At 50.0% G+C, this 24,628-nt stretch overlaps 1 protein-coding gene across 2 annotated transcripts in view; it reads left to right on the top strand.

The window, feature by feature from the left end:
• Positions 1-24,628, top strand: part of MTCL2 (microtubule crosslinking factor 2) — an 86,092-nt gene that overhangs the window by 42,668 nt on the left and 18,796 nt on the right. For both annotated transcript variants that reach the window (NM_080627.4, NM_199181.3), the window contains exons 4-13: positions 3,402-3,464; positions 4,564-5,745; positions 8,027-8,167; positions 10,764-10,889; positions 12,128-12,358; positions 14,914-15,018; positions 15,969-16,136; positions 17,764-18,015; positions 23,298-23,369; positions 23,919-23,989. In NM_080627.4, coding sequence (NP_542194.2) covers positions 3,402-3,464; positions 4,564-5,745; positions 8,027-8,167; positions 10,764-10,889; positions 12,128-12,358; positions 14,914-15,018; positions 15,969-16,136; positions 17,764-18,015; positions 23,298-23,369; positions 23,919-23,989 — 2,411 coding nt within the window. The remainder of the gene's footprint in view (positions 1-3,401; positions 3,465-4,563; positions 5,746-8,026; positions 8,168-10,763; positions 10,890-12,127; positions 12,359-14,913; positions 15,019-15,968; positions 16,137-17,763; positions 18,016-23,297; positions 23,370-23,918; positions 23,990-24,628) is intronic.

Raw genomic sequence — 24,628 nt, 5'->3', positions numbered from 1 at the left:
TATATATTTTTAAACTCTTTTTTTTTTTTGAGACAGAGTCTTACTCTTTTGCCCAGGCTGGAGTGCAGTGGTGTGATCTCGGCTCACTGCAACCACTGCCTCATGGGTTCAACCGATTCTCCTGCCCCAGTCTCCCTAGTAGCTGGGATTACAGGTGCCTGCCACCACACCTGGCTAATTTTTGTATTTTTAGTAGAGACAGGGTTTCACTATGTTGGCCAGGCTGGTCTCAAACTCCTGGCCTCAGGTGATCCAACTGCCTCAGCCTCCCCAAAAGCTGGAATTACAGGCATGAGCCACCACACCCAGCCATTTCTTTCTTCTTTCTGTGGCTGAGTAAATATTCTGTTGTGTGGATAGACCACATTTTTTTAATCCATTCTAAAGTTGGTGGACATATTTGGGTTATAGGCTTTGTTTTGCTGGTCACTTCTTTCCCTTAACAGAGTGTCTGAGAGACTTTACCATGTCAGTGAATCTCATGATCCCTTAGTACTTTGAATGGCTTTAGGTGATCTCATTCATTCACATGTGATGCCTGACCCCTTGGTACCTATGCAGACCCCTGGCTCTCCTCTCTGTCACTTCACTTCCTTCCTCCAGGGAGTCTGCAGTCATTGGTGGGGCTCTGGTCACCTAATCCATGGCCCAGTGTTATAAATGAGAAAATGGAATTTCAGGGAGAGGAAAGGGTTCACCCAGGGATCATAAACTCAGCGTTGCAAGGGCCCCAGAGTTCAACTCCCAGCTGAGGCCACAGCCCTTCCCACTCAGCTTGTAATAGGTGGGCCTAGATCCTTCCATAGCCTGATGGTCTGAGCCCACAGCACCCCCTTGCATGCTATACGGGGGTCTGCTTCTGTGTGCCCCGTCCAGGGCCCCACTGGCTGCCCTTGTCTGCTGCCTCCTGGCTCTTGTGGAAGGACTCGTTTTCTGACCCATAGCCCTGTTTCCTCCTCTTCCCTTCCAGCTTTTGAAAGCTCCCAGGTCAGCACTTCTCAAATACTGGCTCCTGGCTCTTGGCACCCAGCGTCTGAAATATCAGCCTCTGCCTCCCTGCCTCATTTGCATTTCAAAAGGTCTCTTTAGGATTTGATTGAGCTCTAAGATATTCTGTACTTAGGAGTCCATCTGGAGCTCTCCTTGCCTGGCACAGAGGATCCGACCTGCACTTCAGAATCACCTGAAAGCATTTGAAAAATACTGATGTCTCAGACCTACCTCAGACCACCAGTATTTTTTCTTTTTTTTTTTTTTTTTGAGTAATTCTGATGTGTACCAGGTTGAGAACCACTGTGCTGGCTACACTCTGGCCCTCATCAGAGAAGACACATTTTCTCCTACCAACTCTTTGGAATTTGGTCAAGAGCTATGTCAAGAACTGGTCCCAGGTCAGCTGTGGGTGTACTGTGAGACCTTGGACAAGTCCCTGCCCCTCTGTCTTGGTTTCAGAAAAATGGGACTCAGATTAGATCAGTGGCTGTCACTTTCAGGGATGGGGTGTGAGAGGTGGGGGATGGAGCAAGCATGTATCCAAATCACCTGGGGCCATTTTCAAAAATATACCAGCCCACCTTGAAAAGTCAAAACAACCTAAGCAAGGTTTTATACATACACCACCACCAGGAATCACCCCTCCTCTCTTGGGAGGAAGCGCTCAAAAGAATCGTGCATCTAATTGAATGACTTCTTTAAACATTGAGAAATTTCAGTAATTGTTATTGTAACATTTCCTCCAATTCCCTCTGTAGGGCTTGTGCCATTTGGCATTCTTGCCAGCAATTTATGAACCTTTTTGTTTCTCTATAGCTTCACCAATAGAATATGTCGTCAGATATTTGGATTTTTGCCAATCTGATAGGTGAGAAACGGTATCTCAGTGTAATTTTAATTTGCATTTATCTAACAGGAGTGGGGTTGAATATCATCATGTGCCTTGATGTCTTCATGTGCCATGATCCATTTGCCTTTCTTTTCCTGTGAACTGTTTTTCATATCTCTAGCCTATTTTCCTACAGGTCTGCTGGCCTTTTAATGCTCTGTTTGTGAAACTCTTTCCATATTTAGGATATCAACCCTTTGTTGGTGTTGTACATTGCAGATATTTTTTCAGAGTTTGTCATTTATGTTTTTACTTTTCTTAAGGTGTTTTTATTTCCATGCAGAATTTGCTTGTATAATCAAATGTATCTATTTTTTCCCCTATTGCTTCTGGATTTTAAACATCTTATTTTTTTGAGGTGGAGTCTTGCTATGTTGCCTAGGCTAGTCTCAAACTCCTCAATGCAAGCAATCCTCTCACCTCAGCCTCCCAAAGTACTGGGATTACAGGCATGAGCCACTATGCCAGACCAGCTTCTGGATTTTTGAATCACTGTTTGCCATCAGTCTCTTATGACCATTTCTAAGCCTCATGTGTAATTACGATTTGTTATATTCATTTTATTGTTGTTGTTTGTTCTTTGAGACAGGGTCTTGCTATGTTGGCCAGGCTGGTCTCAAACTCTTGGCCTCAGGCAATCCTCCTGTCTTGGCCTCCCAAAGTGTTGGGATTACAGGCATGAACTACCACATCCAGCCTCCATATTCATTTTATCCATTAGTATTCATTCTGAATTACAGTTCCCACTAGATGTCAGTTTCATGAAGACAGGATTTTCTCTGAGATGGAGATTTGCATGCAGAGGTTTATGGAAGAGTCTCCTTGGGAACAACACCACAGGGAGTGAGGCAGAGCTGGAAGCTGAATTACACCAGTGATCTCAGGCGATCCCATGGGGAGCTCTGGAGCTAGGATGGCCCTCCCTGTAGAGCTGAGGCAAGGGGTCATGGACCCATCCCTGGATGTGGGCTCCATCCACGGATAGCACCTGCCCTTGGACAAGGTGGTTCTCCTCAACCAATGGCTGTCGCTGGGAGAGGTACTCAGCTTTGAGGTCTCAGCTCTGGGAATGAGTGTCTCAGTTCCGAAGGGGAATCTGGGCAAAGCACCACAACATCCTCCCTGGTTCACTGCTGTGTTCTCTACACCTACCTACCTGGCGCTTGATAGGTGCTCAGGAAATCCTTTGATGAAAGACAAATGAGAACAGAAACACAGCTTTCCAAGTCTTCGCCGAGGCCAACTGGGTCACACATGGGAGCAGGCTGGAGGGGAGGAGCCCTGAGCAGGTGTTTTTAGAATCATCTTCTCCAATGCTTCTGGCCTATCTCCCATTGCTGCTCACTGGGTGATCTGGAGGGCTCCTCTTACTCAACAGTCAGTGCCATCAGGGTGGGGTGGCCTGGGGACTGGGGCCCTCCCTGGACCCTGGGCACTGTGACAGCTCTCTGCATGTGCATCATTCTGTGAGCTTTCAGTCCTGACTTTTTTTTTTTTTTTTAATTAAATCTCACTTCAGCATTCCTTGAAGAAAAGAGGAACCCGCTCCCTGGGGAAGGCCGATAAGAAGACTTTGGTGCAGGTAATTCCCAGCAGCCCCCGTAGGAAGGTTTTATTCTGAAGACCTGAGCCTGACTCTAAGTGGCCTGGGGATCCCAGATTCTGCCCTGTCCTCCCCTTGCTCATTTTCCTTTTTTTCTTTTCTTTTTTTTTTTTTTTTTTGAGACGGAGTCACACTCTCTTGCCCAGGCTGCAGTGCAGTGGCACAATCTCAGCTCACTGCAACCTCTACCTCCCAGGTTCAAGCAATTTTCATGCCTCAGCCTCCCGAGTAGCTGGGACTACAGGCGTGCACCACCACACCTGGCTAATTTTTGTATTTTTAGTAGAGACAGGGTTTCACCGTGTTGACCAGGCTGGTCTTGAACTCCTGGCCTCAAGCAATCCACCTGCCTCGGCCTCCCAAAGTTCTGGGATTACAGGTGTGAGCCACTGCGCCCGGCCCCCTTGCTCATTTTCTTAGTTTCACTGCCCACTTTATTTCCCAAAACCACATCCTGAGCCCATGGTTCTTAGATGCTTAGATGCTCGCTCCCCACCCCAGCCAGGAACTTAGCAAGCAGCACTACAGTCAAATCCAAAGGTCTAGAGTTGGAGACCCAGGCTTGAATCTTGGCTCTGCCACTTGACTGCCATGTGATTGGAGCGAGTCATTTTGAGTTTCTGGGCTCCATTTCCTATCTATCCCTGTCTTGGGGGTTCATTGGAAGAATTGGATGAAGTACTATATGCAGCAAAGGCCACATACCGTTAGCTCCTAGTGGTATGGGATTGTCAGAGTGCCAGGCCCTTTTCATCCTTAGCTCATTTAATCCCGTCTGTGGCTCTGGGAGGGAGGTAATGTTACCGCCCCATTTTACTGATGAAACTGTAGTGGCAGCAGTTGCTCATCAGTATGTCACCTGTTCCTGTACTCCCAGGCTATGTGTGGCGCCCCATCCTTGCTGTCATTTCAACATCTACCCCTCTGCGTCTCCCCCGGACCCTTAGCTCCTTGAGGGTCTGGCTGTGTCTGATTCATCCCTGTGTTCCCAGCACATAGTGCTCCCCAAAATGCCATGGCTGGTACTGAGACTCCCAGCACTAACCTTCCTGGGTTGTGTCTGTCTCTGTGGTCCCAGGAGGACAGTGCAGACCTGAAGTGCCAGTTGCACTTTGCAAAGGAGGAGTCAGCCCTCATGTGCAAGAAGCTCACTAAGCTTGCCAAGGAGAATGACAGCATGAAGGAGGAGCTGCTGAAGTACCGCTCGCTCTATGGGGACCTGGACAGCGCGCTGTCAGCCGAGGAGCTGGCCGATGCCCCCCACTCGCGGGAGACCGAGCTGAAGGTGCACCTGAAGCTGGTGGAGGAGGAAGCCAACCTGCTGAGCCGCCGCATCGTGGAGCTGGAGGTGGAGAACCGAGGCCTGCGGGCTGAGATGGACGACATGAAGGATCATGGAGGTGGCTGTGGGGGTCCTGAGGCACGCCTGGCCTTCTCCGCGCTGGGTGGCGGAGAGTGCGGGGAGAGCTTGGCAGAGCTGCGGCGACACCTGCAGTTTGTCGAAGAGGAGGCCGAGCTGCTGCGGCGCTCCTCTGCCGAGCTCGAGGACCAGAACAAGCTGCTGCTGAACGAGCTGGCCAAGTTCCGCTCGGAGCACGAGCTGGACGTGGCGCTGTCGGAGGACAGTTGTTCTGTGCTCAGCGAACCTTCACAGGAGGAGCTGGCGGCCGCCAAGCTGCAGATCGGCGAGCTCAGCGGCAAGGTCAAGAAGCTGCAGTACGAGAACCGCGTGCTCCTCTCCAACCTCCAGCGCTGTGACCTCGCCTCCTGCCAGAGTACGCGGCCCATGCTGGAGACGGACGCCGAGGCCGGGGACTCTGCCCAGTGTGTGCCTGCTCCCCTGGGCGAGACACACGAGTCCCATGCGGTCCGACTCTGCAGAGCCAGGGAGGCCGAGGTGCTGCCTGGGCTGAGAGAGCAGGCCGCCCTGGTCAGTAAGGCCATCGATGTCCTGGTGGCTGATGCCAATGGCTTCACGGCTGGCCTCCGGCTGTGTCTGGACAACGAGTGTGCTGACTTCCGGCTGCATGAGGCCCCCGACAACAGCGAGGGCCCCAGGGACACCAAGCTCATCCATGCCATCCTGGTGCGCCTGAGCGTGCTGCAGCAGGAGCTGAATGCCTTCACGCGGAAGGCAGATGCAGTCCTCGGGTGCTCTGTCAAGGAACAGCAGGAGTCCTTCTCATCACTGCCCCCCTTGGGCTCCCAGGGGCTCTCTAAGGAGATTCTTCTGGCAAAAGACCTTGGCTCAGACTTTCAGGTAAGGTGCCTCATGCACAGATCCTATTATTTATTTTTTTCCTTTGTTTTGTTTTGTTTTTCTTGAGATAGGGTCTCTCCCCGCTGGCCAGGCTGAAGTGCAGTGGTGCAATCTCAGTTCACTGCAGCCTCGATATCCTGGGCTCTAGCCATTCTCCCCCCCTCACTCTCCTGAGTACCTGGGACTACAAGTGAGCACCACCACACCCAGCTAATTTTTATTTATTTTTTATTTTTTTTGAGACGGAGTCTCGCTCTGTCACCCAGGCTGGAATGCAGTGGCGCAATCTCGGCTCACTGTAACCTCCAACTCCCAGGTTCAAGCGATTCTCCTCTCTTAGCCTCCCAAGTAGCCAGGATTACAGGCGCCCTCCATCATGCCTGGCTAATTTTTGTATTTTTAGTAGAGATGGGGTTTCACCATGTTGGCCAGGCTGGTCTCGAACTCCTGACTTCAAGTGATCCGACCGCCTTTGTCTCCCAAAGTTCTGGGATTACAGGTGTGAGCCACTGTGCCTGGCCATAATTTTTAAATTTTTTTGTAGAGATGGAATCTTGCCATATTGCCCAGGCTGGTCTTGAACTCCTGAGCTTAAGTGATCCACCAGCCTCAGCCTCCCAAAGTGCTAGGACTATAGGTGTGAGCCACTGTGTGTGGCCTAATAGTCACATTTTAAATGTTCAGTATTTGTGTGTGTCTAGTAGAGTGGATCTAGAATATTTCATCCTTGCAGCTTGTCCTTCTAAATCCTTCTCTACACATCTATCATATATTTGTTTTTCCACCCAGATTGCTTTATATCTATTGTTACTACACAACTTATATTTTTAACGCAATGTATCAGTTTGTTAATTTATGATGCCTTGTCTGTTGTTCACACAGTTTTTGTGCTCACTGCTGAAGATGTCATGATTAGCAAAAACAGATATGATTCCCCCTCTCATGGTCCTTATCATCTAGTGGGGCAGAGTCACCCAAAATATCATGTCAGTGAATGTGCAATTAGACACTGAGAGAGGAATCTGAAGGAAGCGTACATGGTTTTATGAACAAGGAACTTGACCTAGACCCTATGCTGAGGGAAGGCCTCTGATCTGACCAGAGGTCAGAGGGATGGATGGCTGGGGGAACACAGTGTTTTCAGCAGAGCAAATAGCCTGTGCAAAGACACAGCTCAGATCAGAGGCGGAAGGAGCGTGGTGTGTCCAGGACACTGAGTGAAGAGACAATGTGAAGCTGGACTGCACTGAGCATGCGGGAGGTTTGATCTTCATCCTCAGAGCAATGGCAGGGAATTTTTCATTTCCAGGGAAAGAGAGCGATTTAGCACTTTCTTTTTTTCTTTTATCTTTTTTTTTTTTTTTTTTTTTTTTGAGACAGAGTCTTACTCTGTCGCCCAGGCTGGAGTGCGGTGGCACGATCTCAGCTCACTGCAACCTCCGCCTCCTGTCTCCGCCTTCCGGGTAGCTGAAATTACAATTCTCCTGTCTCCGTCTCCTGGGTAGCTGGAATTAGAGGCATGCCCCACCACACCTGGCTAATTTTTGTATTTTTAATAGAGATGGGGTTTCACGATGTTGGCCAGGCTGGTCTTGAACTCCTGACCTCAGGTGATCCACCTGCCTCGGCCTCCCAAAGTGTTGGGATTGCAGGTGTGAGCCATCGTGCCCTTCTGAGATTTAGCACTTTCTTTTTAACAACTATACAGTGGATATGTGCCATAATTTCTTTAACTCAAGACCTGTTGATCCGGTTTCATCTTGCTTTTTTAAGCAAGCACATTGCCTTTTTTTTTTTTTTTTTTTTTTTTTTAAAGAAACAGTCTTGCTCTGTTGCCCACGCTGGAGGGCAATGGTATGATCACAGCTCGCTGTAGCCTCAAATTGTAGATGGAATTACAGGCACATGCCACTGTGCCCATAGACTGCTCTATGTTATCTCCCTTTTGGTTCTTCTTGAAAGAGGGATGAACAGAGGTCACACATGTGATAGGACAGTTTGGGCTGACTCAAAAGGTTTGTGCACAAGGCACACATTCAGAAAATCACTTCGCACTTACCTACTCATTCATCCTTTCAGCAAACATTCATTAAACGGCAGCAGTGCCCCCAGCTGGGGCTGGGTCTGGGTTGCAGAGGTGAATCTACCAGGGTCCCAGCCCTCAGGTGGGTGGTTCAAGCCTCTTAGGGAGCGCAGAGGCCTGGGGTGGGTGTTTCTGGCACCCCTCGGGCCCCTCCCCATGGTGATCTTTGGTTTGTTCTGCCTGTGCCTCTGGGTGCAGCCACCTGACTTCAGGGACCTGCCGGAATGGGAGCCCAGGATCCGAGAGGCTTTCCGCACTGGTGACTTGGACTCTAAGCCCGACCCCAGCCGGAGCTTCAGGCCTTACCGAGCTGAAGACAATGATTCCTATGCCTCTGAGGTGGGTCTAGGCCTGAGCAAGCATGGGATTGGGTAGGAGGAGAGTGACTGAGCCCTGTCAAAAGCAGAGTGGTCCATATATCACTTAGCTGGTGAGGATATGGGTTTGGGGCATTCCATTTGGTTCCAGGCTTCTTGGCAGCCAAGGCCAGAAGGGAAATAAGGAAGTTTGGGACATTCTCATGGCCTGATCCAAGGAAACTTATAAACTCATCTGCATAAATTATTTTTTCTTCTGTACTAAATTCCACTGGGAATTTAACAATTTATGTAATTTAATGGAACTACTCATGTATGTAGCAGGAAGGCAGCAGTCTCTATAGCCAGGCAGTTTGGGTTTCAATTGTGGATCCACTCTATTCTGGCTGTGAGATCTTGGATAAGTCATTTTACCTCTCTGATTCTCAGTTTTCTCACATGTAAAATGAAGGTGCCTCACAGGGTTGTTGAAAGGATTAAATACATGAAAAGCCATAGCTTAAGGCATGGTCCACATTGGGTGAGGATGAGGAGGAGGAGGAGGATGATTATGATGATAATGACACATCTCTGGGACTCAGGGGACCTGAGTTCAAGTCTCAGTTCTACCAGTGTTCCTGTGTGACCTTGGACAGATTTCTACCTTCTGGCCACAGCTTCCCCATCTGTAACGGGAGGGTTAGAGTGAATGGTAGTTATTGAATTGCTAGGATTCTTTGATCCTCAGGGAATTCTGGGTAGTTCTGAGCCCCTTCTAAGCCTGCTGAGCTTCTCCTTGCTCTTCATAATGAGCCTGAAGCAGGAAAAGGCTCCTACGGACTGGGTGGAGTATCCCTGAAACCCTGAACCTTGCAGAGTCCTATGTATTTTCCAGCCTGAGCACCTTTCTGAGCATCTCTTGGAAGACAACTCTGTAGTCCCAGGAAGGTCAGCCCATGACTATGTGGGAAGGAGAAGCTCACTTGAAGCTGATGGATCAGACTCTCTAAGTGAGCTTCCTGGAAGCCATGGCAAAAAGAGAAAAAACTGAGATAACTTAGTTGTCATTTTCTAAGAAAAGGAAATAGGCCTATTCTTTTTTTTGTTTTTTTTTTTTTAGACTGAGTCTCGCTCTGTTGCCCAGTCTGGAGTGCAGTAGTGCGATCTTGGCTCACTGTAACCTCCATTTCCTGAGTTCAAGCGAATCTCGAGCCTCAGCCCTCCCAGTTAGGTGGGACTATAGGCGTGCGCCACCATGCCCAGCTAATTTTCGTATTTTTAGTAGAGACAGGGTTTTGTCATGTCACCTAGGCTGGCCTCAAACTCTGGGGCTCAAGTGATCTTCCCGTCTCAGCCTTCCAAAGTGCTGGTATTACAGGCGTGAGCCACTGTGCCCTGCCAGGAAATAGGCCTATTCTATAGGCTTACCTGTAGAAAAAATGATTTCCTGCACACATTCAATTATTTGTTTCATTCAGCCACTCTTTATTGAGTAGTGACAATTGCCCAGTGCTGTTGACCACTGAGTTCAGGGAGGAAACCAGGGACAGCAGACAGTATGTAGCCCTGCAAAAATTTTTAATGCAAAACAGATATAGAAGATATACCTCAAGTCACTGTGCCTTCCACTGCCAAATCATCATATTATTGACCATATAATGAATGTTTACTTTCTCACAGAGGGACATTTGCCATGCCTAGGAAGGTTTTATGTAGGAGTTCTGGGGCCAGGCACGGTGACTCACACCTGTAATTTCAGCACTTTGGGAGGCCCAGGTGGGCAGATTGCTTAAGCCTAGGAGTTCGAGATGAGCCTGGGCAACATGGCAAAATCCTGTCTCTATCAAAAATATACAAAAATTAGCCAGGCGTGGTGGCGGGTGCCTGTAATCCCAGTTAATTGAGAGGCTGAGGCAGGATAATCGCTTGAACCTGGGAGGCAGAGGTTGCAGTGAGCCAAGATCACGCTCAAAGCTGGCGAAACTCCGTTGAAAGAGAGAGAGAGAGAGAGAGAGAGAGAGAGAGAGAGGGAGAGAGAGAAGGAGGGGAGGGTGGGTGAAGGTTGGAGGTCAGAAGGTCTTCACATAGTTCCCACTGGTTACATTTATTGTGTGTGTCCATGTCCTTTGTATGTTTTTTTATGGAGGCCTATAGCGTTTTTGGTTTTGTTTTTCTACTTTCTGTTGTAGTATAACATAATAACATACATACAATAAAGGACACTGTCCTTAAGGGTACCACTGAATGGATTGTTACATATGTATAGATCCATTAAGCATCTTTTAAGTCCCATCATTTAGTATCTAAGTTGTTTCTAAAATATTGCAATTATAAACAATGAAACAATGAACATCTTTGTGAATCAAACTTAGTTTTCCCAGTACCTTATTAAGATAAATTTCAGAGAGAAAAGAACAAGTTCCAATGGTAACAAAAGCCAGATTTGATATGTACTGTTTCATTTAATCATCATGACGACCCTCAGAGGTGGGGACAGTCATTCTGCCTGATTTGTATTTGGACAGCTTGGGTCCAACATCCCATCGTTCCCCTACCACTGTCATCCTTAGATCACAATTTCTATCCACTTCTTCCTCTCTCTCCCTCCTCATTATCTGTGTCCCCTGTCTGTACCACAGATCAAGGAGCTGCAGCTGGTGCTGGCTGAGGCCCACGACAGCCTCCGGGGCTTGCAAGAGCAGCTCTCCCAGGAGCGGCAGCTACGAAAGGAGGAGGCCGACAATTTCAACCAGAAAATGGTCCAGGTGCGTGGTGCCCAGCGCTTTCCAGGCAGCTATTCCTACAGCCTCTCTGAGCTGGAAGCAGAGGCCTTGAGGATCTATGGGCCCTCTGAAGTCAAGAAAGTCAGGGGAGGCTGGGTGTGGTGGCTCACGCCTGTAATCCCAGCACTTTGGGAGGCCAAGGCAGGCAGATCACTTGAGGCCAGGAGTTTGAGACCAGCCTGGCCAACATGGAAACCCCGCCTCTACTAAAAATACAAAAATTAGCCAGGCGTGCACTAGCACGCCTGTAATCCCAGCTACTCAGGAGGCTGAGGCAAGAGAACCGCTTGAACCCAGGAGGCGGAGGTTACAGTGAGCCGAGATCATCCCACTGTATTCTAGCCTGGGTGACAGAGTGATATCTAAAAAAAAAAAAAAAAAAAAAGAATGAAAGAATGTCAAGGGAAACCTGAGTCTTCAGCCCCTGTGCCCTGCTGGGATGTTATTGTCCTTGCCATTGTGCATTAGTTGTGTAACAGGGCTGTCATTGGCGGCCTGTGGGACCTGGGGCCAGTCCTGTTTTCTCTCAGGACCTCAGTTTCCCATTTATGAAATGGTGCCCTCATCAGGCCTGGCTTCTAATCAAGATAATAGTTCTGGAATAACATTTGTTAAGCCCTTACTGTATGGTGGGCCTGTCCAATGCACTTTCTACCCATTATGTCTTTTAATCCTTGTGCCCTCCCTTATCACCATTTTGCAGATGGGGAAACTGATGCCCAGAGAGCTGGAGTGCTCTGCCCAGGGTTGCACATCCAGAGTGTGGCAGGGCTGGGCCTCTAATCCAGGTCCCTCTGTTAGGCATGACACTGCATTGCTTCCTAGGGTGTTGCCTAGTCATCAGCTGTCCTCAACCCTGGCACGCCCTTTGCTCTCCATGCGTCACCCCTCCCTGCTATCATCGCTCACCCTCGCAGGTTCCTCATTGAACATGAGCATTCGTGTGAGACATTTGGTGCCCAGGAGGTGCTCAGTATATGATGTCATGGTTTTTTAGAGCCAGGGTCAAATCCCAGCTCCTTCAATGATGTGTCACTGTTTTTGCAGGAGCAGAGGGCAGTGCTCATCTGAATAGATTGCGCCACGTGTGGTGGGATCCCCGGCAGGGATCACTCACAGGCACCACCCAGACTTTCCTCCCTGCCCCTGTCCAGGGGCCCAGAAAGGGGTGGGGGAGAGGACAGGGCCCTGGGGTTGCTCAAGCTCTTGTCCCCCGGCAGCTGAAGGAGGACCAGCAGAGGGCGCTCCTGAGGCGGGAGTTTGAGCTGCAGAGTCTGAGCCTCCAGCGGAGGCTGGAGCAGAAATTCTGGAGCCAGGAGAAGAACATGCTGGTGCAGGAGTCCCAGCAATTCAAGCACAACTTCCTGCTGCTCTTCATGAAGCTCAGGTGGTTCCTCAAGCGCTGGCGGCAGGGCAAGGTTTTGCCCAGCGAAGGGGATGACTTCCTCGAGGTAAGATTGGGCCAGGGACTGGGACTGGGAGTGTGGGCTGGGGAGAGAGGGACAGGGAAGGGACGCCCAGCTGGTATTGACACAACTCCTAGGCTCACATACCTGCCATCAGCATGCAGGCTTCCTTCCTGCATTCGTTGCTTTTTTTTTTTTTTTTCCGAGATGGAGTCTCACTCCAGCCCAGGCTAGAGTGCAGTGGTGCAATCTCAGCCTGCTGCAATCTCCATCTCCCGGGTTCAAGCAATTCTCCTGCCTCAGCCTCCCGAGTAGCTGGGATTACAGGCACATGCCACCATGCCCAGCTAATTTTTGTATTTTAAGTAAAGACAGGGTTTCTTGGCCGGGTGCGGTGGCTCACACCTGTAATCCCAGCACTTTGGGAGGCCGAGGCGGGTGGATCACGAGGTCAGGAGATCGAGACCATCCTGGCTAACATGGTGAAACCCCGTCTCTACTAAAAATACAAAAAATTAGCCAGGTGTGGTGGCGGGTGCCTGTAGTCCCAGCTACTCGGGAGGCTGAGGCGGGAGAATGGCGTGAACCCAGGAGGCGGAGCTTGCAGTGAGCCTAGATTGTGCCACTGCACTCCAGAGTGGGAGAGAGAGCAAGACTCCTTCTCAAAAAAAAAAAAAAAAAAAAAAAAAAAAGACAGGGTTTCTCCATGTTGGCCAGGCTGATCTCTCAAACTCCTGACCTCAAGTAATCCACCTGCCTTGGCCTCCCAAAGTGCTGGGATTACAGGCATGAGCCACCATGCCTGGCCAAAAGATATGTTTACTTAACAAGAGGGAGTAGGCTGGCTTAAAAACATTGGTGATAGTACAGGTGGTATTAGGATGTGGCAGGAAACGTGGGGGCGGAGCTCTGGGAATGTAAGAAGCTTAGAAAGGACCCACCTGACCCATTCATGCCCCAGTCTATGCAGGACCCTTTGCTGCTCAAAGCCCTTGCGTCCTGTCATCAGCACAGCAGCACACATCAACACATCAGGGAAGAGAAGGGGACTTACAAGGATGTCAGACCTTGGTCACACTCATCTTAGTTGACATTGTTCACTTTGGCCGTGTCCTTTTGGGTTCAGGTACCTCGAGTCTAGCCCAGGCTTGGCCCTCCTCTAGTCCAGGCTGCTCTCTGTAGTCCCCTGTCCAGATCCAGTAGGGAGCATTGGCATGCCTCAAGTTGCCACTTACGCCATCAGGGGTACTCCAGAGGAGCCCAGATGCCCCAGGAGCCAGGCAAGACAGTTAGACCTGAGTGTGTAGCAAGACCCTGCATCACCCTATCTCAGTGGGGCTCATCATTCTCGCAGGCCACCAGCTCCTCCCCAGGGCCTCATGGGAGAGTCACTACCGCCATTCCATAGGCCCACACCCTGCTGCCCTGGCCCTGCAGTGCCTGACACAGGGCCGCCCCTGGGAGCATTCGCCTCGGTCCTCCTGTCCGAAGCTGTCTCTTCTGTGACGTTTGGAAACATAGGAGCCCTCTCACCTGTTTGGAAGTCTCACAGGCCTCTGGATGAAGCCCAGTTTAAGGGAATGACCTGCAGGCCACACAGTCTATATTTTAAGTCAGTTTGTCTCAGACGAACCCTCCACATTTGGTGAAAACCTTTCTAGCCATTTCCATATCCTAGAGTAAAAGAGAGAGAAACTTACTTTAGGGAAAAAAAATTAGGGCATAAACATAGAAAATTGGCTAGGTGCAGTGGCTCACACCTGTAATCTCAGCACTTTGGGAGGTTAAGGTGGGCAGATCACTTGAGATCAGGAGTTCGAGACCAGTCTGGTCAACGTGATGAAACCCTGTCTCTACTAAAAATACAAAAATTAGCTGGGAACGGTGGTGCACACTGGTAGTCCCAGCTACTCAGGAGCCTGAAGCAAGAGAATCTCTTGAACCTGCAAGGCAGAGGTTGCAGTGAGCTAAGAGCATGCCATTGCACTCTAGCCTGGATGACACAGTGAGACTCCATCTCAAAAAAAAAATAAAGAGACACAGAAAATTACATAACATATATAATTAAGAAATATATACATTTACCAAAATAAGCATAATTAATAAGATATAAACATAATCATGCTGGGCATGGTGGCTCGCGCCTGTAATCCCAGCATTTTGGGAGGCTGAGGCAGGAGGATTGCTTGAGCACAGAAGGTGACTCGCTCCCTTTTGTCTTATTTCCATCCTGAACTAGGTCCCTGATCTCCTTGGCTGGCCCTGGACTCTTGCCCAGAATCTATCAGCAAGCAGTCCAACCCCCCAGCAAGGTCCCTTCTGTCCACCCAAACCTTTGGTCACCCTTATGTAGCATTGTGGGAGTGCGTGTGGCCTTTTCATTTCAACCACAGTGCCTGCCTTGACCCAGCCTGTCAACATGGTTATTTCAGAGTGACTCTCAGGGATGCTTCCTGGTCTTTGGGGCAGAATAGATGTCGTGGGAGGCTAGGAGGGCCTGACTATCCAGCCGTGCTCCTCGACCTACATGGTGCCCAAGGTTGGAATTAAAATTTGGGAAAACTTCCCACCTGCTGTTAAGCATGGTTTTTAAAAAACAGGTGAACAGCATGAAGGAGCTGTACTTGCTGATGGAGGAAGAGGAGATAAACGCTCAGCATTCTGATAACAAGGCCTGCACGGGGGACAGCTGGACCCAGAACACGGTGTGTTTCCAGCCCCTTCCCGGTCCTGTTGTGTCCATTCATTCCTTTGTCTGCTCAGTAATCAATTCCTACTGCTTTCTCTGACCCCATTCCTGGACATTGAAGTTGCAAGTTATTGCCTGGTCATCCCAGGGCAGTAACAGAGTCCAGATGATGGACTGTGGGGTCATAGGCAAGACAGCAAGTAATTCTCTTTGCAGTATAGGGGACAATATCACGGTGAAGGGGTCATGGATGATGGGTTTTGAAGGATGTATAGGAGTTTACCTAATAGAGAATAGGGGAAAGACTATTCTGGACCAAGAGAACTCTGTGTGCCAAGGTGTGGCAAGGTGTTCTGGTATTGAGTATGGCTTGGGAGGTACATGGTAAGGGTAAGGATATCAGGCTAGAGTCATCTGAAGAGGGGCCTTGTGGTCTAGGGTCAGGAACCTTCAAATCAAGCCATAAGTCAGAGAGAACAGTGGGGTCAGGATCCCAGGGTCACACACGGTGAGCTGGGGTAGGGATGGGAAATGAGGGCATGGGCCCAGGAGAGAAGATTTGGGACAGAATCAGGCAAACTGAGGGAGTCTCCATGAATTAGACCCCACATCTGGCCTGCAGCGGGTCAGAGAGGCAGATCCTGAGTGAGGAGAAGGACCCACGGCACAGACGCTGCAGAGCCTTGAAGAAGCCAGATGATTCAGCTCAGAGTTAGGCTGAATAATTATTACTGTAACTGCAGGGTTTTTTCTTGGTGTCAGATTTGGGCCTCATGTCAGCCTAGGAGGTAGCCAGGGCTGGGCCTGTCATTCCCATTTTATGGGTGAGATGACCTAGGGAGGTTGTGGGACTTGCCTGAGGCCTCGTGAAGTCCCAAGCTGGACTCCTAGGTGAGTTCTCTGAACCCAGGTTCCCCTCCCTACCCCACAGAGGCTCTTGACTCAGGTTTTGCCTCCTGTCTGCAGCCCAATGAGTACATCAAGACACTGGCCGACATGAAGGTGACGCTGAAGGAGCTGTGCTGGCTGCTCCGGGATGAACGCCGTGGTCTGACGGAGCTTCAGCAACAGTTTGCCAAGGCCAAGGCTACCTGGGAGACAGAGCGGGCAGAGCTCAAGGGCCATACCTCCCAGGTGAGCCCCCCACCTGTCAGACGCCTCTCCCCTTACTCTCAGCCAAGCCTTTAGCTGTCAGATCTGGGAGTAGAATACCAAGGCCATGCTCCTAGAGGAATAAGAATGCCGTTGCTTCACCTGTGGCCCAGAGAGGGCAAGAGACTTGCCTAAAGTCACACAGCAAGGGTATCAGAAACGGTGGGGAATGGGAGTCACAGAGGAAGGGAAGGAAGGTGGGGGATTGCGCCCTGGGCTCACAGGTGAGGCTGGTGCACATCCCCACTGCCTGCTGTCCTCATTTGCTCCTTCATTTCCTCATAAGCACTCCCTCAGCCCCAACTGCCTGGCTCTATTTTGCTCCCTCCACGCAAAATGGGGGCCTCCCCTCCCAACTCCCCAGCGTGCCCCCAAAGGAGCCTTAACCAGGAGCCCTGGGGGTTTGGTGTCTGCTGTGTGCCTGAGGGTGACTTGCTGCCTCCTTTGGCCTGAAAAGTGAGAGGGTGGGCTTCTTCCCACTCAGAGAGAATGCTCTGACCCTGCAGCTTGGGCTCCAGCTTCTTCCATCCAGCCTGCCCCTGCTGCAAGCTGCCTTCCCAGGCGTCAGCAGCCTCTGGGAGGCAGGCACTCCGATGGTCTCTGCTGGACAGATGACAAAACTGGCACAGAGGAGTTAAATTTATCTCCCAAGGTCACCCGGCTAATAAGTGTCAGACTGGCCCTTGCTCCCCCAAACCTCTAACCCCTGGCTCCCTGTGACCCCAATTCCACCTCCTTTTTTTTTTTTTTTTTTTTTTTTGAGACGGCATCTCACTGTGTCACTCAGGCTGGAGTGCAGTGGTGCAATCTTGGATCACTGCAACCTCCGCCTCCCGGGTTCAAGAGATTCTCCTGCCTCAGCCTGCAAAGCAACTGGAATTATAGATGGCACACCACCATGCCCAGCTAATTTTTGTATTTTTAGTAGAGATGGGGCTGCACCATGTTGGCCAGGCTAGTCTTGAACTTCTGATCTCAAGTGATCTGCCGGCCTCAGCCTCCCAAAGCGCTGGGAGTACTGGCGTGAGCCACCACTCCCGGCCCCAATTCCACCTTCTTCCCACTGCTCACAGTCTCCTGGCTACTTCCTGGGGCCACTACTCTCCCCTCCTAACCCTCTTCCAGATCTCACAGCTCCCTCCATCTGCATATTCCACGGTGTCCCCTGCACCTGCTGCCCCCAAAGACCTGGGCATTTCAGGTGCTCCTCCCACCAAGAACCTGACCAGCTCATGGGGGTTAATGGGGGGCATTGAGTCTAAAGGTTGCACATTCCCTTTCCTGCCACTCTGAGGTTTGAGGCCAAGAAAACCATCTTGCTGGAATGACCACTAGTAATCTTTCTGAGTTTTTATGAGGATACTGACATCATGCCTGAAAAGCCCACAGAAGAGCATGGCTTATAGAAAGAGCTCTTCAAACCCTTATTGTGTGGAGGGGTTAGGGGTTAGTTCTGAGTGGGGAGGACTAAGCTGGGTTAGTCCCTAGTGAGGGGTCTTCTGAGGGGACCTCTCCCCTTTTCCCCGCTGGCACCCAGGAGGGAAGGAGAGAGAAGGGCCAAGAGGAGTGGCCTCCTGCTGCCAGCTGCTTAGTCTGCTTCTTTCCGCAGATGGAGCTGAAGACAGGGAAGGGGGCCGGGGAGCGGGCAGGGCCCGACTGGAAGGCAGCCCTACAGCGGGAGCGTGAGGAGCAGCAGCACCTCCTAGCTGAGTCCTACAGCGCTGTCATGGAGCTGACTCGGCAGCTGCAGATCAGTGAGCGCAACTGGAGCCAGGAAAAGCTGCAGCTGGTGGAGCGGCTGCAGGGTGAGAAGCAGCAGGTGGAGCAGCAGGTGAAGGAGCTGCAGAACCGCCTAAGCCAGGTGAGGCCCACCCCTGCCAAGCCGCTTCCACCCGCAAGGGAGAGTTGCTACAGAAATGATTCAGAAGCAGGAACTCCTTCAGGTATAGCTGGATCTAGGTGCTCATCCAGTGAGGTCTGGCACACCATCTCCTTCAGGTATAGCTGGATCCAGGCACTTAGAGAATGCAGTGGGAACTAGATTTTTCTTTCTGCTTCAGCCTGTCAGGCCTGCTTTCCTCTGTGTTAGCTTTACTCTTAAACAAGCTATTCCCAAATATGGCCACTGTTAGTTTCATGCTCATATCTTACAGCTTAGCAAGTACAGTGGATTGGCCAGATATGAGTCATGTGCCCACCCCTGGAGCCTACCCAAACCCAGGAACCAAGAGGGAGGAACTAAGAGTGGTTCCCATGGGAAAATTGGGAGGCCTCCAATCAAAAGAAGGAGGAAAGGAAAAGCAATCATTGACCCTCACTCCCCATTATAGTTCACTTCATGCAGCCAGGCACCACCTACCATAGGCTGCTCTGCTCCACTCTTGATTTTGACTTTTCCCTTTCTTTCACTTTTATTTTTATTTACTTATCTATTTATTTGAGACAGAGTCTCACTCTGTCACCCAGGCTAGAGAGCACTCTCGGCTCACTGCAGCCTCCGCCTCCCAGGTTCAAGTGATTCATGTGCTTCAGCCTCCTCAGTAGCTGGGATTACAGGCGTGTGCTACCACAGCCGGCTAATTTTTATATTTTTAGTAGAGATAGGGTTTCACCATGTTGGCCAGGCTGGTCTCAAACTCCTGGCCTCAAGTGATCCTCCCGCCTCAGCCTCCCAAAGTGCTGGGATTACAGGAGTGAGCCACCATGCCCGGCCTTACTTTTATTTTATTTATTTTTATTTATTTATTTTTTCTTTGAGACAGTCTTACTCTGTCGCCCAGGCTGGAGTACAGTGGTGTGATCTCAGCTCACTGCAACCTCCACCTCCCGGGTTCAAGTGATTCTCCTGCCTCAGCCTCCCGAGTAGCTGGGATTACAGGCACGTGCCACCACACCCGGCTAATTTTTTATTTTTAGTAGAGATGGGGTTCACCATGTTGGCCAGGCTGGTCTCGAACTCCTGACCTCAGGTGATCCGCCCGCCTCGGTCTTCCAAAGTGCTGGGATTACAGGCATGAACCACCGCGCCTGGCCTTACTTTTAATTTTAATTACGTAAATCAGGACTTCATCTTTATATAATGTTCACATATTACAAAGGTACATTTCAGCCTACTCCCTCCCTTTCTTGTCATTTTTTTTTAATGAAAAAAAGTTGTTTTTTTTTTTTATGAGAGATGAGGTCTTACTGTATGGCCCAGGCTGGACTTGAGCTCCTGGTCTCAAGCCATCCTCCTACCTCAGCCTCCCGAGTCGCTGGGCCTTTCTTTCTATTTAAATTTATATTTACAGGGTTTTGTTTTGTTTGTTTTTTAATCATCAATCAAATTTTAATGTCCATTTATTTATACTTTGTGTCTTTCCTGGAGAGCTGTTCACAAGAGTATGGAGGCCTTCCTTATTCAGTGTGACTGGTGCCTGGTGTTCCTAGTGTGGAGATACTATGATTTGTTATCTACAGTGATTAAATCTAGATTGTTTCCAGTTTTTCACTATTGAAAGTTGTGACCTGAAGCTGGTTGTGGCAATGTGTGCCTGTAGTCCCAGCTACATGAGAGGCTAAGGTGGGAGGATTGCTTGAGCTCAGGAAATCAAGGCTGCAGTGAGCCATGATCATGCCACTGCACTCCAGCCTGGGCAACAGAGTGAGACTTCGTATCTAAAAAAAGAAAAAAAAAGTTCAAGTTGTGCCTCAGTGAACATCTCCACACATATATTTCTGCACACGCATGAATATTTCAGTAGGATAGATTCCTAGAGGTGAAATTGCTAAATCCAAGGGCATATGCATTTATAGTTGATGGTAACTGCCAGGCCGCCTTCTAGAAAGGCTTTGCCCATGTACCCTCCTGCCAGCTGCACAGTGAGAAGGACAAGAAGGCCCTTTTTGCTTTATCTTTGCCAGTTCCTGTGATTACCAATCTTTGAAATGTCTGCCCAAGTTAGGGTGTGAAATGCTATCTCATTGCTTTACTTTGCATTTCTCTGACTTCTACTGAAGGTGAGCATTTTTCATGAGTTTATGGATCTTAGGTATTTCCTCTTCCTAATGTTCTCTTCAGTACTTCAACAGCCTTGCAAGGTCACGTTCATGAAACCCCTTTTTCAGATGAGGAGACTGAGGCAAAGTGATTTGCCCAAGGTCATAAAGTGAGTAAGGGAGAGGACCAGAATCTGGCAGAACTCCCAGATCTGGAAAGTTCCTGGTCCTGGGCCATGCCCACTTTCCTGCAGGTAAAGAGCTCCTTTGAGGTTCACACTTGCTAGGAGGCTGTGCTTGGGGAGTGCAGGATGGCAGGCTGACTAACAAATCCCAGAACCATCCAGGTACCATGTGGAAAGCAGGTCAGATGCATGCATCTGTTTGCACCATCAAACCAAATTCCTGTCTATAAAAGAATAATTCCTTCTTATTATATTAACAACAAAATGTTTCTAAAATGATTCTGAAATTATGAAACAAGCTTCATGTCATCCCTGGGGAACATGTCAGCCCACAGGCGTGTCTTGTCAGCTCATCAGGGCACGGGTTCCATGTTCTGCTGTTGTTCTCACATCAGAGACTTGCCGGCCCTCTAGCTCCAGCCTCTTGTGTCTCTGACATTCTTCTGCCTCCTGCACTTTAAACCAAATCCCCCAAAGCAGCATTCTTCTTTACACTGGACTGACGATTAAGCCAGACTGGTGAAAGCAACAGAGTGGCTGGTGGGAAAGAGCTTCTGACCAGGAGTCCCCAGTCCTTACCTGGCTCCACCAGGTACAACCCCAGTCAAGTCACCTCTGATCTCTGGGCCTCATCTGTAAAATAAGGATGACCATTCTTGACCTTCTCATCTTGCAAGGCAGCTATGGAAATAAAGTGAGATAGCCAGAAGATTCAAAGTGCTTCTTAAGCCCACCCCTGTCTGGGGCTTGGTTTGATTCTATGGTCTTCATCTCTCATTGCTGTTTGCTGATGTTAGTGTTATTTCCCTCCTTCCCTTCCCTCCCTTCCTCCCTCCCTTCTTCTTTCTTCGTTTCTTTCTTTTCTTATTTTGAGACAAGGTCTTGCTCTGTCACCTAGGCTGGAGTGCAGTGGCACCATCTCAGCTCACTGCAACCTCCGCCTCCCAGGCTCAAGTGATCCTCCCACCTCAACCTCTCGTGCAGCTGGGAGCACACTCTACCATGCCTGGCTAACTTTTATTTATTTATTTATTTATTTATTTATTTATTTATTTATTTTTGAGATGGAGTTTCACTCTTGTTGCCCAGACTAGAGTGCAATGGCGCGATCTTGGCTCACCGCAACCTCTGCCTCCCGCGTTCAAACGATTCTCCTGCCTCAGCCTCCTGAGCAGCTGGGATTACAGGCTTATACCACCACGCCTGTCTAATTTTTTGTATTTTTAGTAGAGACAGGGTTTCTCCATGTTGGTCAGGCTGGTCTCGAACTCCCAACCTCAGGTGATCCACCTGCCTTGGCCTCCCAAAGTGCTGGGATTACAGGTGTGAGCCACCGTGCCCGGCAACTTTTGTATTTTTTTGTAGAGATGGGGTTTCGCCGTGTTGCCCAGGCTGATCTTAAACTGCTAGGCTCAAGTGATCCTCCCACCTCAGCCTCCCAAAGTGCTGGGATTATAGTTGTGAGCTGCCACACCTGGCCTAGTGTTATTTTCATTGTTGCCCTTATTACTGTTTGTCTCATGTTGAGTTTCTTAGAAGCAAAGCCCTAGACATGAATTCAAGTACAAGTAAGGTGACCAACCCATGCTGGCTTGCCTGGGACTGAGCGCGTTCCTGGGACTTTGACTTTTAAAACTAGAATAGTCCTAGCCGTAGCCTACTAGTTTTTTTTAGAACTGAGGGTTCTGGGACATGGGACTTTCAATGCAAACACTGAGAAAGTCCTGGGCAAACCAAGATGAGTTGGTTACCCTGTGTGCAAGTGATTTGTTAACGGATGGAGTCAGGATGGGGAAGGGGAAGAAACCACGTAAGATATGCTTTCAGATGAAGTCTGCCCTCGGCCTGACCCCATGACATGCCCAGGAGTGTAAACAGTAAATCACCCCACAGTTTGGTCCACCTTAAGGCAAGGGGTCTGCCTTTTGGGCCGGTCTTTTGGACCCCTGTCTTTGTCTGTCATTGGCAGTGATTCGGTTCTAATTGCCCAAGGCAATCCTCCAGAGAAGGCTGTAGTGTCAGATGGTACAGATGGAGCCACCAACAATGGGAAGTGCTACACGATCATTCACTCAGTCAGCTGCCCAACCTCTTCTCTCAGTCTTGATCCTCTCATCTGCCAAATGGAAATAACCACAAGAACACCTATCATACACTGTTTCTGTGAGGATTAAATCAACTAATGCGGCCAGACGCGGTGCCTCACACCTGTAATCCCAGCATTTTAGGAAGTCGAGGCAGGCGGATCACCTGAGTCAGGAGTTCAAGACCAGGCTGGCCAACATGTGAAACCCGTCTCTACTAAAAACACAAAAATTAGCCAGGCGAGGTGGCTCATCCCTGTAAATGCCAGCCACTCGGGAGGCTGAGGCAGGAGAATTGCTTGAACCTGGGAGGCAGAGTTTGCAGTGAGCTGCGATCGTACCACAGCACTCCAGTCTGGACAACAGAGTAAGACCCTGTCTCAAAAAAAAAAAAAAATTAACTAATGTGTGCATAGGAGATAGGTTCCATCACAAGCCACCTGGAAGTGATGGAGCTCCAAAGAGGGGAGAGAAGCAGAGGCCCCTCAAGGCCCAGCAGGAAAAAGTGCCGAGATCCATAAATGACGGCCACTGTGGATGGAGCAGTGGGGGTGCCTGGATCTTACATTTGCCACTCTGATGGGATGTAGCTGCTGCTTAGCTAGTCTAGCTGTTCTGTGAATTGTAACATGAATTCACATAGTCATGGCTGTTACTATATTAGGTATAATGACATCTAGAAGGATGCCTGCAAGTAGTTCCTTTTATTATCATTTTCCAAATCCACCAGGCAGAGTGGGGCGCTCTGAGCTGCTACCCACTGAGAAGGTGGCCCCTTGTCCATGATGTAGGTTCTGTGGGCTGCAGAGTGGAGTCTGGGGAATGGCCTTGCTTAGAGCAGGGTCCTGCATACCAGCTTTGCCCATTACCGACCCACCCTCTCTGCCCTTGCCCAGCTGCAGAAGGCTGCCGACCCCTGGGTCCTGAAGCACTCGGAGCTGGAGAAGCAGGACAACAGCTGGAAGGAGGTGAGTGGGGCGGCTGCTGCCATGCTATCTTGGCTCCTGGCTGCACCATAAAGGTCCCTGCTTGTGGGGGACATGAGAGGAAGTTGCTAACCCTGTCTCATAGGTCACACCCTTGCACCTTGGGCTCCTCAGCCCTGGAGTCTGTATCTCATGGTTCCTGCCTCAAAAAAATAAAAAAAAAACCCAACCACCCAGGGACTGGGCTAAGTGAGGGGGTAGGGTTGAGGAGGAAGAAGACAAGCCCACCACCAGCTGAGCAGTGGACCACTGGATGCTTTGTTGCAGTCACCACATTTGGATTAAATTTTAAGTGGTCCCTTTCCTTGGGTGGGTCACTCTTGGAGCTCTGATTGGCCCAGCCTGGATCACATATGGTGGGGGAGTTGGATGCAGGGCAGCCAGAAACTGACCATGCTAGATCATTGATGACATCATTCCTGCTCTCCGGATGAGGAGATTCAAGCACTGAGGTCGGGGCTGGTCTCTTGTTCCATGCCCTTAGTGCTCTGGTGGCCAGAACTGACCCTTCCTGTCTCTCTTCCTTGACAGACACGCAGTGAGAAGATCCACGACAAGGAGGCTGTTTCCGAAGTTGAGCTTGGAGGAAATGGTTTAAAGAGGTGCTTGCATGCTGGTCCCCTGCTCTGCCTCTCTGACCGGCCCCACAGCCTCGCCCCTCTCCACCTCCTGCTGCGCCCTGCACCCACTCTACCTGCTTTCACCGCAGCCCTGCCCCGCCCCTTTGCCCTCTTCCTGCCGCCACCCCACCGCATCCAAGTTGGGAGAGCATCGGGATATGGTTTCTCTGGAACCCGAGCCACTCAGGAGCTGGAAGGCTTGGGGCAGTGGGAATTCCAGGCTGCTGCATGTTGTTTGAGTCCGGGAATGGAACACAGGTGGAAACAAAACATTTTGCTCCTCTTGGGATTCTTTTCTCCTGCCTCTGGAGTTAGGAGAGTCAAGATTGACCTCTATTCCTGGGATTATTGAGCAGCATCCTTTGGGCCCAGCCCTGTGCTATGGCCAAGGAGACCCCCACCCCAAGACCATAAGGACCACGTCTCCACTGTTAGGAAACCCATGAAAGGAGTCAGGGAAACAGAACCCCCAGCCGCTATCAGACCAGCCCAGAAGCAAGGCAGGCGGGACAGGCTGTGGAGCCAGAGGGCCAGGTTTGAATGCCAGCCCTGCCAGTTCTAGCTCTATGACCTTGACCTTGAGCAGTACTTCCCATCTCTGTCTAGTGGGGATGATAGGAG

This window comes from Homo sapiens, chromosome 20, assembly GCF_000001405.40.
Source record: "Homo sapiens chromosome 20, GRCh38.p14 Primary Assembly".
Taxonomy (NCBI): Eukaryota; Metazoa; Chordata; class Mammalia; order Primates; family Hominidae; genus Homo; species Homo sapiens.
The sequence above is the reverse complement of the archived record's forward strand: the minus strand, read 5'-3'. Positions and strand labels throughout refer to the sequence as shown.